General features: G+C 33.7%; 1 protein-coding gene across 56 annotated transcripts in view, besides 1 other annotated feature; it reads left to right on the forward strand.

Annotated features, from left to right (window-relative positions):
- The window catches only part of ZEB1 (zinc finger E-box binding homeobox 1), a 211,388-nt gene that overhangs the window by 60,701 nt on the left and 135,931 nt on the right, over positions 1–14,756 (forward strand). For 18 of the 56 annotated variants that reach the window (NM_001323638.2, NM_001323642.2, NM_001323645.2 and 15 more), the window contains one exon: positions 8,007–8,149. The exons of 22 other annotated variants lie outside the window; for them this stretch is intronic. The gene's annotated coding sequence lies outside the window, so the exon portion shown is untranslated. Of the gene's footprint in view, positions 1–5,615; positions 5,654–8,006; positions 8,150–8,602; positions 8,682–14,756 lie in introns of those variants that run through there. 16 more of the 56 variants (XM_047425691.1, NM_001323646.2, XM_047425684.1 and 13 more) reach the window with 2 other exon arrangements.
- Positions 4,947–5,096: an enhancer, noted in NCBI's record as "active region_3237". NCBI's record gives its function as "activates an Ori minimal core promoter by ATAC-STARR-seq in GM12878 lymphoblastoid cells {active_cell/tissue: GM12878}" and the evidence as "EXISTENCE:reporter gene assay evidence [ECO:0000049][PMID:35858748]".

Consider the following 14,756-nt stretch of genomic DNA (forward strand, 5'->3'; position numbering starts at 1 on the left):
TTTAGAGAGGGGAGTATCAGTTAGTTACAGAAGGACTCATTTGAATCATGAGATAATTTGTGAGAATGCAGACCCAAGTAATATGCTCTAATAAAATCAGAAGGCAGCATGCTTTTGTTGAGAAATGGAGGTAGGAAGGTAACAACATAAAATAACCTACTTTGTACTGGTTCAGTATACCCCATAAACTGTCATCTCTTTTGTTTGTTTGTTTTGAGGGTACAAATTATTTCATTTTCTGATATTCTCTTTCCTAAGGTATTGTTGGACTGAAACTTAACCAATTCTCCTCTTTTTCTGTCTCTGTCTGTCTGTCTCTCTCTCTGTGTGTGTATATATATATACATATATATACACATATATTCTTTCTACACACACACAGTAACAGTATGTGCAAGTCAAATTTAATTTTAAAATAAATCTTTTAAAGCGTGGGTCAATCTGTGCCAGTCACACACAGGGCAGTCTGCCGTATCTTTTGCATCCTTGTTTTGTACTGCTCGTGAATGTTCGTTATATAGTAGAGTAGGTAATTCCATATTTACTTGTACTAGAATATATCTGGCTTAATAGATGATGTTCCAAAGGCTTGAATTAAAAAAAAAAAACCTTAGTGTAAAAAATTTCAGGCATACACTTAAGAGAGACTAGTGTAATAAACCCCATGGCCTAGATTTAACAATCAGCAAAATTTTGCCACATTTGCTTCATCTACTCTCTTCTTTTTCCTCAACTATTTTTAAAGTAGATCCCAGACTTCAAGTCTTTTCACTCCTGCATTCTTTCATATGCATTTCTTTAAAAGAAGGAATTTTTCTTATATAACCACAATACCTTTATTACATCCAACAAAATTAACAATAACTACTAACCACCTCATATTCTCTCTGTATTCAGTTTCTCTGCTTTTAACTGAAAAATGTCCTTTTTACGTTTAGATTGTTCTTTCAGAATCCAACCAAGATCTGTATAGCATTTGGTTGTTTGGACTGCTGTATAATTAAAAGGTCTTTTCTTTCCCACCACTTGTTTACCTCACTCACCCCCAAACCCCCTTCTTCCTCCTTCCCTCCCCTTTTCCCTTTAATGTGTTAATGAAAAAACTGGGTAAACTATCCTGTAGAATATCCTCCATTCTGGATTTCTCTGTTGCCTTCTAACTTGTTCCTGTAGCCTCTGAATTTCCTGCGAACTAAAAGTTGGCTTGAAAGACTTAATTAGTTTCAGGTTCAGCTTTGGTTTTGGTGTTGAGGATGGAAGGCATGCAGGAATACTTTGCACATGGAACTGTTTCTTCATACTGCATCACATCAAGGAGCATATAATGTCTGCTTGTCATACTCTTATCAATGCTAAAATTGGGCAGTGGTGCCAACCCAATCTCTCTATTGAGAGTTTTCTACCAATCTTTCCTCCCGTGGGAAAAGTTGCTGACTGTTCTCCAAATCAATTCTGTCATTAGGGTTTGCAAGAGAATGAATTTTTAAATCTGCCACCCCTTACACATTTATTAGTGGAAATTCTTCTGTAAGAAGAAGTTTCCTTCATAAATTACACCTTTTTGATTTATCTGAAACAATGTATACTGGAAAGAAGCCTGGTGTCTTAAATATCATCTGTTAATACCTAGTGTAACATTCCAAAGGTAACTTGAGATACTGCAAGGACCACATAGCACCTTGAGTACCTATTTTACATGTGACTCTGAGGACTTTCACAGAATAAAGATATTTCTTATTTTAATGAACGTTGTCAGTATCAGGATAATTTTATGTAGTCAACATATATACAGTGTTGGTCCTATAGGAGTTGGAGACCTTTTGCCAGTTTTATTTGGTCAAATACATTATTTTGTGATGAAATAACTGTGAGTGATGAGTTGAGCCTCAAAGAACATGATACTTCATTAAATCAACAAGCTGAACAGTATCATCTAACCAAAGCTGTAGAATAAATGGTGATAAACTTAAATTCAGGAATGAAACAATCACCATTTTTGTTACAAATTTGTCCACCCGTCATCACTAACCCCATTTTTATTTAATACTGGTAATGAACAAAACCTGAAGAAGAAATAAAACTAAAATATTTCATTTGTAGATGACATGATTAATTATCTAGAAAAATCTACAGCAATCAGCTCTAAAATGATTTATTAAATAATAAAAATTTAATAAAGTACCAGATATACTGTATCTTTATACCATGTGAAAATCATTCTGGGAAAATATCCCATTCAGAATTGCAACAAACGATGTAATATCTAGCAATACATTTGAGAGAGATGTTAGATCTTTGGAAAATAAATTAACATCCAGTGTATTTGAAACAATTTTAAGATTCAAATAAAAGCAGAGAAACTGTTTCTAAATCAAGAATATTGGCAAATTATTTGACTAAAAGTAAGATTTTTGGGTTTAACCTCTAACTTCCAAAATTTCTAGTGATTTATTTTATAGTGATTCTGTAATGAGAAGTCTCGTCCTACTAAATATCAAAAGGTTTTAAAGCAAGAATGTCTAAAACAGTGATGATGATGTAAGAATAGGTGTGTTACCCAGATACCAGAAGAGACTTCTCTGTCTGTTGGAGATTTAAGTATACATTTTCTGGCCAGGCCCAGTGGCTCACGCTTGTAATCCCAGCACTTTGGGAGGCCAAGGAGGTCAGATCACTTGAGATCAGGAGTTCAAGACCAGCCTGGCCAACATGGTAAAACCCCATCTCTACTAAAAATAGAGAAATTAGCTGGGTGTGGTGGTGCACGCCTGTAGTCTCAGCTACTCGGGAGGCTAAGGCAGAAGAGTCACTTGACCCCAGGTGGCAGGGGTTGCAGTGAGATGAGATTGTGCCACTGCACTCCAGACTGGGCGACAGTGAGACTGTCTCAAAAAAAAAAAAAAAAAAAAAAAAAAAACAAAGTAAATTTCCCTTGAAGCCCGACTTCATGGCCGGTGAGAGTCAAGAGACATGGCCTGGATCCCGTGACTTACACAAATCCCTGTGGCTGACTCAGACCTTAGTTTCTCTGCCTCTGCTTGCATGCCACCTTGGTTTCTGCCAGTGTCAATACATATGTGAAACCAGCCCCTTTACTAGTTTCAAACATTTAACATTTTGTGAGTTAAGAAATCCTGAATAGGTGATAGACCAGCAAATGATTTTCTTAATTTTTGAGTGGAACATGCTATCTATGTTCATTCTTTTCTTCTACTCATACTTTACTGAATTAATACAGTTGTTTTCTTAAGAGGAATACTGAACAAATAAGCTTGTTTTCATTTTGTAAAACATAGATTACTGGAGCACTATGAGGAATACAAAATTTGTCCCATCTGTTATCATATACAGTAACTAAATGTATGACAAAATAATCTTTCCTAAGAGAGGGGCACTTAAAGGATATTTGTTCAGTGGTGTTGGATAGTACTATTCAGTGATATGTCTTAAAACTAATTAGACAAAAATCATCCGTATATTACACAACCATAGGAATAAAAAAGAAAAGGTAACAGAGAGAATACCTTTACATCTCATATTTGAAGAATTAGTAGAACTCACCCAGAAGATACTTGAATATTAAAAATTTTTGTTGGACCAAAATATTATGATTAAAAGGATAATAGAAAATTGTGGAAACTACATTAAAAATTATAAGGAAAGTGATAATAGGTATAAGTTATATATTGTTGTAAATATGCAAGTTTAGATATCAAGATTATAATACATAAGTGAGAAATGAATATGACAGATTAAGAATATGAAAGTAAAGACACATGAATAATAAAGAAATATGAGGTTTTTTTCATTGTATTAAAGGACATAAATTTTTAAAAAGAGAAATCTAATATTTGCAAGTAAGCAGTGCTAACAGACCCTTTTGGGAAATAATGCAGTAATACATGCTGAGAGTCACAATAATGTTTAGAAATTTCATAATAACATATTAGGAAACACTATGCTAATTATTTTACATATATATATATATAAAATGCCCAGCTTAAAAACTAATTATAGAACAGCAACATAAAATATTACATTTAAATGATTATTTTTGGAGACTATAGAACAACACTGTTCAGGAGAGCTTTGTGGTGATAGAAATATTCTGTGATTGCACTATCCAATATGTAGCCATTTGGCACATGTGGCTGCTGAGCCCTTAAAATGTGGCTAGGGCAACTGAGAAACTGAATTTTTAATTTAATGTTAATTATTTAAATTTAAATAGATAAATGGGGCTAGTGGCCACAATTTTAGATAGTGTAGTTCCAGAAATAAAGAGAAATGTTTGGTATAAGTGAAAATAAAATAGTAAATTTATATGCCATGATTACAAGTATGTACATAACTAAATGTACGTATGGAAAGTGATAGTCATAATTAAAATATTTGTGTTAGGATTGAAGGAAATAGGTAATTTTTTTAAAATGCTAAATTTTTAAAAGGTTACATGACAATAATGTAACACTTCAGCATTGTACTGGTACTGTTCAGTATGGTAGCCACCAGCCTGATGTGCAATTTAAACTTACATCTGTTTAAGTAAAATTAAAAATTCAGTACCTTAATCACACTAGCCACATTCCAAATGAGCAGTAGTCATATATGGCTAATGTTTGCCTTTTCGAACAATGAAGCTATAGAACATTTTTGCCATTGCCAAAAGTTCTATTGTACAGTGTTGTAGAAAGAACTGGTAAAAGGAATATACTGGAATCAGTCACTGATAGTTTATTTGTCAGTAGTTTCTAAGGGCACATGAGAATTAAAACTGGAAATTGGATTCAGTAAAAAGTATAAAGGAAGAGTAACATAAGATCCTACTCCTGTAACTTAGATTAGTGCTTTTTTTTTTTTTTTTTTTTTTTTTTGAGATAGAGTCTCACTCTGTCGCCCAGACTGGAGTGCAGTAGTGTGATTTCAGCTCACTGCAGCCTCACCACCTCCTGTATTCAAGTGATTGTCCTGCCTCAGCTACCCAAGTAGCTGGAATTACAGGCATGTTCCACCACTCCTGACTAATTTTTGTACTTTTAGTAGAGACGGGGTTTCTCCATGTTTCCCAGGCTGGTCTGGAGTTCCTGAGCTCAAATAATTCACTTGCCTTGGCCTCCCGAAGTGCTAGGATTACAGGCTTGAGCCACTGCGCATGACCTACACCAGTGCTCCTTGAAGAATGGGCTATGAACTGGTGCTGGTTTGTTAATCAATCCATGACTAAATGCTTACTCTCAATTTCTATATTGGTTTAGAAACTCTTACAGCCATGTGATATTTGTGTCATTCAGGCACATCACCTGTCTCCCCGGTTGAAGTTCAGGCCAGTAGTTTTAACGCAGTTGCCTGGAGAGTTTTATGCAAAGTGAGCTGAGTATAGTCATGACGGTAGTCCATGAACCTGGGTCCCCAAAAGGGAGAAAACAGTCTTTCACTACAGATTGCGTGAGAAACATTGGCCAGCATTAAAGAAGGAAAGTAGATTGCTCAGGGAAGTTTTGTAGGGAACTTAAAATGAGATGTTAGTATGGCTTAGTAATCTGTATTTGCAGGTGAAATGAAAAATTCAGCCCTAAATCTCTGAATATGGTAAACTTAGACTTCATCTTCTGCAGGTGGAAATGAGGCAAGGGATCCATTATCCACAGCATGAGTAAGTTTCTAGTCAGTTCCTCTGTCTAGGGAGTTTGTTTTCCCTTTTCGCCCTTGTTGGCCTGGGAGACTCAACCAGCTTAGTAGTCTTTTCCTTTCAGTAAGATTTCCAACTTTGGGTTGGTCTTTACCCCTTTTTAGCTCTTTTTGTCGTATTATCTGCACTTAGTACTTTGTAACTGTTTTCACCCCTTCCCCCCAAAGTTAGTTCAAAGGCTTACAGCATGTTGAAAATAGGAAAATTGTTTTTAAATTAAGTGAGTTTTTGTGTACACTTATTTCTTTAGTCTAAAGTTTTGTTTTAAATCTCTTTTTCACATTTAAACCTGATTCCCTGAGACAAGATATAAAATTGAATTATTTGTGAAATGTGGAAAGGTTTTTATTGCCTGTAATCAAAGCATAATCTGTCCATTAAAGCATTATTTTAGTGATGAAGGGTGGACATACATCCCAAGTTTACTACCTGTTTTCTTACTGTGGTTTTGACCATACAGCAAATGGTATTTTATACTCTGAAATGAAATGCACCATACACATTGTCCAGTATGTTTTGAGTTTTAATTCTACATTTTCAGATTTTGGGGTCAAATGAAATCAAGTACTTTATAAATAGTTGTTTCTTCTGATTCTACTGGCCTTACATGTTAGATTTTTTTAAAGTATACACATTCAGTCCTTTATCAGTACCATTAATCAAATGTTGATTTCAGCATTTCTTCATTTTGTTTTCTTTTTTCTTTTCTTTTTTTCTTTTTCTTTTCTTTTTTTTTTTGAGACGGAGTCTAGCTCTGTCACCCAGGCTGGAGTGCAGTGGCACAGTCTCAGCTCACTGCAACCTCCACCTCCCAGGTTCAAGCAGTTCTCCTGCCTTAGCCCCCCCAAGTAACTGGGATTACAGGCGCTTGCCACCACATCCAACTAATTTTTGTATTTTTAGTAGAGATGGGGTTTCACCATGTTGGCCAAGCTGGTCTCGAACTCCTGACCTCGTAATCCGCCAGCCTCAGCCTCTCAAAGTGCTGGAATTACAGGCATGAGCCACCACACCTGGCCAGCGTTTCTTCTTTTTCTCTCTAATTTATCAAATTTGGAAACAGTTGGAAAACATTTAAAGGAAATAAGTCTCTGTGTTTTTAATAATAGTTTAAAAGTTAAAGGAAAACAAATGAATAATATTCTGTTTATTATAGTCAGACAAAATGTACATACGAAAATACATAAGGAAATATAGAATGGCATCTTCTGATTTTAATTTAATATTATGGTAATGATTTACTTAGGCAGAATTATAGCTATAGACAACCATTTTATCACTTTATTTATATCGATCTACTCTCTATGGATGAAAACAGTTAATACTAAAGCATTAAGAAGGTATATTGCTTTTCATCTGTATTAATATTCTTCTTCTGATATTTGATATTTAATAATATATTTTAAAATACTCTGCATGATTTCCTGATCTTAAAGCATTCCATTCCTTTCAAGGAATTTGGATTATAATGATTTATTTATAGTATTTTTGTCATTAATATTTTAGGATATGGCATCTTAAAATATTGTATTCCTAACAGTTATTTAATATATAATTAAACATCTATATTAGTATTATTTTATATAACATATTTTCAAACTCCTCAGAACATTTGTAGGTTTTTGTTTAATTTTATGTAAGTTTCACCTTAAGAATATTGACTAATCGGTTAATATTCTTCTTAATCATCGCAATTTTTTAAAATGCTTTCTATGTACCAGGACCTATTTAAGGTACTACAGATAATCAGTGTGTCAAAAAACAAAACCAAAATTCCTTTCCTCATGGAGTTTTACATTCTAGTAGATTGATTCTACTGTTGATTCATACTAAATTAATTTATTAATTATAGTAGATTATTCTGTGGCATTTAACAGAATTCAAAGGGCTACTTTTCTGTTGTTAGGAAATAGCATATGCCATTATCTTGGAAATACAAAGGGAGGACAGAATTTCCGCTGGCTCTAACCCATTGCTTTTTAATGAGTTTAGCTATGTATATATATTTTAAAATGGAATTTATAATTATGATCATTTGGCAACCTACAGTTTTTCTGTATTTTTTCAACTTCTCAACTTCCCAGTGATGGGGGTGGATGTTGAACTAGTCACTTAAGGTTTTGGGTCTAAGGAGTAATATTTGAAACATGCAGTATTTAGAGGAGATATTTTTGTGAATGAAGAGAATGTGATTTTAAGAATACTCATGATTTTATCTAATTTCTGTTCTCAAAACTTCATTTTGTAATATAGAAGATAAGCTTGATCAAAATAGTTTGATCCCAGTATAATCTTTTACTCTTCTCTCCTCCCTTAGGACAACCTTAAACTTCCACCACAAGAGGAATATAAAGAGGTCCCTCCTGCACCAAGAAAGATCTGCAGATCTTTTTCAGTGTTCTTGGAGGTGTGGGGTGTGAGAACTTGATCAGTTTGTGTCAGCCACCTTGTTCTCTAAAGGTAAGCACTGTGTAGTGAGTGCACACTCGTGGGCCCAGGCTCCTAACCTAAGACTGGTTTTGGAATGCTCCATTGAGGGTGTGAGACCTTCAGACGTTCGCACAGAAGGGAGGCCCTACCTGTGGGTAGGACATCACACATTCATCAAGAGGTGCTTTTCGTTATTTAGAAGTGAAGCATGTCCTGGGGATGTATGGATATTTTTGTTTTGTTTTACTTTAAAAAAAATCCCAGTCATAGTAAAACCTTCCAGTTTAGTCTGCATTTATTCAGTTAATAACTGCTGGAGTTAATCAAAAATTTTTCTTGTATGTCTTGAGATATGGATTAAGAATTTTGAAACAATGACACCATTTAGGCAATCTAGTGACATAATAGCTTCAGTTGATAGAGCCAGCTGTGAAGAATTACTTTTCATGATCTTTTTGAAGCTGTATCTTATCTTTACTTCAGGGAAAGCCCCTCAAACCATTTTGTATTCTGTATTACACTTCAGAAAGTGTGGAAGCAAAGGTCATCTAATCTTTAAAAGGTATGTAATCATAAAATTTTTTATGTCAGATCTTAATTGAAAAATATTACTTAAAACTTGAAAAAATTACTTAAAATTGGCAATTTCTTTTTCGTCTTACAACTTCTTCCTGTCTTCAGGAAATGAAGAATAAATATGTTGGTTCTATCAGGGAAACCTTATGAAGGATAAGCAAATTAATGTCTGTGCTTTACTTCCAAATTCTGACATCAGAAAACCTTATTGTTAACTAATATAATCTATAGATGTCTCTCAAAATGACCAGTCTTAAATTCAAATGTCATTTGGATATCATTAATTGACTATGGAGAAGAGCAGAAGCATGCTGATTTCGAAAATGTCATTAATATTAGGATTAGGTCAGTCTTAGGCAAGAATACTTTGAATAACAAGAGACTAAATGTCTAGTAAAACATTTTAGATTGTAATTCCCAGTATTCTGTAGTATTAACAATGAGACTTAAAGTACTGGTGAAGACATTAAATTTGTCCCTTTCATTTATCTTTTCTTAAAGCTCTTAAAGTGATCCTGAAGACTTTAGTTCTACAAAATGTGAACTTCTTATGGACCATTAAAGTGGGGAGTAATCTGCTGATTTTTGTCTAGCAACCCTACCTCTGATGCAGGATAATTTTTCAAAACCGTTGTTCTTCCTATAGCTGTATAATAGAAGATATTAAAGAGGAAAAATACTTGTGTGTTTGCTGTTAGAATGAGGAAAAAATACAAATTGGACCTTTTTGAAAAACCTTGAGAACCAATTTACTTTTTTTGTATGTAAATGGTCGAGGAGTTAGAACTAGTCTTGGTTATTATAACTGCAGGTAAACTTAAAAGATTTAAATCTTCAAAACAGATATCATGTAGGTTTTATTAGAAAAGAAATATAGATTATTGGGTGTATAGAGATAATCTATATATACGTACAGTTTTTTTTAATTTTTATTTGCAAGAGCATGCTAAATATCTTAGCCTTTATAATAGCATAGAATAGAATGGACAAATATGTTATCCCTTTTTGCCAGTTGAGAAAACACTTTGAATTAAATCTCCAACCTAATGAAAATTATAAGGTGGGTTATAGAAATAACTAAACAGGTTATTATTTCTTAACCAAACTAAAGGTTTATTCTAACTAAAATACTTGTAATCTAAGAAGTCTCCCTAAACATACACCTTTTTTAAAGTGAGTTTTGTTTTATGATAGTACATATTTTAGCAACATACTTTAGAAAAGAAAAGTTTATTTCACTATCCTAGAACTCGTGTTCTAATTTCAGATCAGTTTTGTAGGATGTATAAATAAAATGGGGACCTATGAGATCTATGAGATCTTGCCGTCTGTATCTACAGTATCAAAAATAAGATCATTTCCTTAACAATTCTTATTAATAACTTATCCATCTCAATTCATAGGAGGTGACAAAATCAACTGTTGTTCTATGATTTTGATCATAGGTAGGAGGGAAAACCCAAAATAATGGTACCGAGGGCTTCTTCCATTGAAACTAATATCTGGGAGAAGATTTGATTTTCATGTGTACATATACACATACCTATATTAGTGTTTATTTCTTTTTTCTAATCATGTAAGAATTTGTCAAAGATCAGGTTTCTGATTTGTCTTTCATCGGTATCTGTATGCCACATTTTGTTTTTGTTTTTGAAGTGTTCCTAGCCAGTTCATGCTAGTCCCTACTATAAATTTTGTTTCCCTGGCATGATCATGCTCTTTACCTACTCTGGTAGCTGGAGGGAGGTGAGAGAAGCAGTCTTATGTGTTTACCGTACTGATTTTTTTTTAGAGATGGGACAACAAAGAAATTCTAGCCTTTGGAGACATCTAGACCAGCACTATATGGTACAAAGATAATTCGAGCCATAAATAGAAGCTACGTATGTAATTTTAAGTTCTTAATGGCCATATTAAGAAAATAAAAAGAGGCAAAATTAGTTTTCATTACATTTTATTTAACCCAATATATACAAAAATATTATTCCAACATATAATTAATAGAATGTTTTATGAGATTTTTTTCATACTCAGCATTCAAAATCTGTGTATTTTATACTCACAGCACATCTTATATTGGACTAGCCACAGTTCAAGTGCTCAATAGCCGCACGTGGCTAGTAGGTACCATATTCCACAGTTCAGATCTAGACAATGAGTGGAATTCTCATTTTAGCCTCATACATGCCAAAATCCACTGGATGACCCTGCGAACTCCCCTTGTTTAGAGTTTCCAAATTTAGCAGAAGGAAAAAACAAAACAAAACAGGATGTCCAGTGTAATTTGAATTTCAAGTAAATAACAAATAATGGTTTAGTGTAATTTTGTCCCATGCTATATTTGAGGCAAACTTTTACCAAAGAAGTTACTGCTTATTCGAAATTCAAATTTGACTGGGTGTCCTATATTTTATCTGACAACCCTTCTCTGGTTTAACTTGAGAAGAGGACATCATCAGGCTGCCTGGAATCTTGGAGGACTAGAAAATAGAGCATCTCTTTCTCTGCGCAGGATTTTAATAATCCTCCAAAAATCAGCCTGTAAACTAGAAGATATCTCTAGCCCATTTCTTCCTAATGACCTAGTATGTTTAAGACAGAAGAGGGGCTCAAATGGCAAGGATTTAGTCCATACATATTTAAACATTTTACATCTAAATTATTACATTAAGATATAAGGTTTACGAAATTTTACAATTTTTGAATGATTACTTGAATTTATAAAATGTAGATCATCTAACAGCACAACGCTGCTATCATTTCTCTTGAAAACTAATTCTCCTTTGACAGTAACCACAGCAGTTTTCAGGGTCTTGGCCATTTCAAGGTATTTTCCTACCATTGGTTTCCATTGCATCTGTCACATAAACCTCTGGTAGTCAAGCATGAACACAAAATACAAGGCTACTGAATGCAGGGATTAGGCTTACTTCGTTACAAGTATTTAAGTACTTGTAATTCTTAGCTCTGGTGTTGACCATTGGATCCTGACCAGTTCAGCAATCAGTCTCCTAAGAGCTTCTTTTACAGAGGAACATCTTTCCGTTTTCATTCTTTAACATTTTTAATGTATTGATTTTAGTACATTTTTGAAGCATACAGTCACCTCCTTAGTAGTGTGGATCTACCCTCAAGTGCTATAGAAGAGACTGTTTGTCTCGAAAGACAGTCATTGCACCACCTCTCTCCAGAGAATACTTTTCCTTCACAAGGTGCATGACTCAAGATGACAGGCTTACATTATTATTTATGTAGGCAGGTGGATGCCAACTGCCAGTGCAGGGTGGCATAAGTTAGCGTTCCAAAGTTAAGCTATGGTGCATTCCAAATCCATTCACACTTAGGAGAATGTACCCAAGAGTGTGGGGATGTTTTCAATTACTGCATTTCCTTCAGAGAACAAGAACCACAGGTAAGTTTGTGTGTGTGTGTGTGTGTGTGTGTGTGTGTGTGTGTGTGTGTGTGAGATCCAATAATTATTTCTAAATAAGAAATTTCAGAATTTGAAAATATTGCCCCTCCCCCAAAACAGTCACCTGAAAGGTCTCAAATATAGCTTTCGGTATATATTTTTCTTCCTCACTCTAAGAAGGAAGGTATTGGAGTTGGTGGTGATGGTGGAGTTGGGATGAGGGAGACAATTTACTGTCATTTGAAAGCTGTGAATGTCACACATTTTCATGTCTAGAAATATCCTGGGTTTATGTAAGAATCTGATTTTGCCTAACCTCTAATGTCTCAGGTATGAATTATTTTGTCAGATTAACACATCTATATAAGTAAGATGTTCAGCCTTGCTTAGCTAATGTCTTCAACAGCAATGAGTAAACTAATGAGTTGTGTCTGCATTTTTCACTTTTATTCTCAAGACTGACTTCCTTTTGTTTAAAGGCTTTTGCCTTATTTCTGAAACCATAATTTAAAGCTACAAAAGACCTGAAATATAATCTAGTACCCTTTTTACCTGGGGATCCTTGGATGGATTTCAGAGATTCTGTTGAATCCCCTAAAATTACAGTCATATTTTGTATATATGTGTTTTTACTGGGGAGAATGTCCATATTTTCATCATATTCTCAGAGGATTTCATAACAAAAAATTTGGTCGACAACCACTGTGATCTAGTCTAATGTGATCATTTTACTGATAAACTGAAGTTGAAAGAATTTAACTTATCTTCATTTGAAATTTAATACTTGTGAAAATTAAAGTTTATTTCTTTAAAATTCATACTGATTTTTAAAAGAAAAATACATTTAACTTCAACTAATTAAACTTGAAAATACCAGCCTAAATGGGAGCAGTTAGTTTGCTAATGCTTTCTTCTGTTCTGCCCTTTGAGTGGACTCTACTAGTTAACATTAAAATGGCCTTCCAATAAAGTATGAGGCTATGTGATAAGTTCTTGAAGATAGATTAAAAAGAAAAGGAATTATCCATTATAATTTAAATCCCTTTTTCTCTCTTCAAATTCTGTCTCCAAAACTAAAACTCAAGAAAATAGGTGAATAATGTTATTTTTATATTTCCAGAATATTAAAAAAGTAGGTAATTGCCTTAATAAACATTACACTGGGCATTATTGGGACAGTTTTAGGTTCTGAACCCTAGTTAAAGAAATTCTTCAGTAGCCTATATACACTTCCTGTTGGTTTTCAGTGATAAGGGCATTTTAAGGTCTTTTTGATCATAAGATGCTTTTAATGTTATAGTAGGACTTTAGAAATGGTAAGTAAGCAAGTTCTGTATTAATTAGGGAAACTAATACCTTTTTCTCAAAATGAAGGAAATATTATTTTTTCTTTTTCTTGGTACTAACCAGTAAAGTCTGCCTAGTTTAAGATCTAGTGCATTTATACCATAAACTGAATATTAGAATAAAAAGAAATATAGAGGATGTTATATAAAAGACAATTATTTTCTGAAAGGAGTAGAAAACAAGGCAACTTGGAACACTACATATATATAAATGTAAAATATATTAATATACTTTTATATAGATGATATTATATATCCATATATATATTTTTTTGTTTGTTTGAGACAAGGTCTCACTCTGTCACCCAGCCTAGAGTGCAGTGGCACAACCACAGCTCACTGGAGCCTCGACCTCTGAGGCTCAAGCCATCCTCCTGTTTCAGCCTCCTGAGTAGCTGGAACCACAGGTGTGCACCAAGATGCTGAGCTAATTTTTCTGTGTTTTTTGTTGAGACGGGGGTCTCATCATGTTGCCCAGGCTGGTCTCAAACCCCTGAGCTCAAGCGATCCTCCCACCTTGGTCTCCCAAAGAGCTGGGACTATCAGGCATGAGCCACCATGCCCAGCTGTACTATTTATATTTTTTATTTAAATTAAATTGTGCTTAAAGATTCTAAAATTTATAGTATAAAGCTCATTATAGAAAATGGTATTGACTTCTGAAACATTATAGTTTTGGTTTTGTTTTTATTCCTTCGGACATTTTCACTTAAGGTAGTTATCACTCATGCTTTTCTGCTATTATAAAAAGTGACCAGATTTTGCTTTTTTATCCAGGAAGAACAGTTTGTGAATGCCACTTGATAGGCCACCTGTGTTATTTTCCATGGGTATTTCTAACAAATAAAAAGTTATATTTTTACTTTGTATTCATCAAATTATTTTATGTTTAATTTAGAAAAGCTTAAATTCTTCTTAGGAATATTTGCAAATATTTGTAAATAGTTTTTTTCAAAAAAGTTGAGGTAGATAGATATTAAATATTTTTGTGACTTCTCATTAAAAGAAACTGAAGCAATTAGTTGACCTCACTCAATTCATTAAAACAGTGCTAGGTTCCTGGTTTTCGTGACATTAAAAACAATTCAACATCTGTGTGTAGACAATGACTAAAACTTTATGATTTTGTTTCAGAGTTTTATTACCATAGATATTGTTTAAAATAGAACTTTCAAATACATTTAAGAACCATTAAAAGTGACTTCTCCCTGTGCCTGAAAGATACATGCATGGCTTATATCTTTTTGTGTATAAACAATTTAATGTTTAACTTTTATTTCCTTTAAGTTTGCATATCAAACAC

The sequence above is a fragment of the Homo sapiens genome, chromosome 10, assembly GCF_000001405.40.
Source record: "Homo sapiens chromosome 10, GRCh38.p14 Primary Assembly".
NCBI lineage: Eukaryota > Metazoa > Chordata > Mammalia > Primates > Hominidae > Homo > Homo sapiens.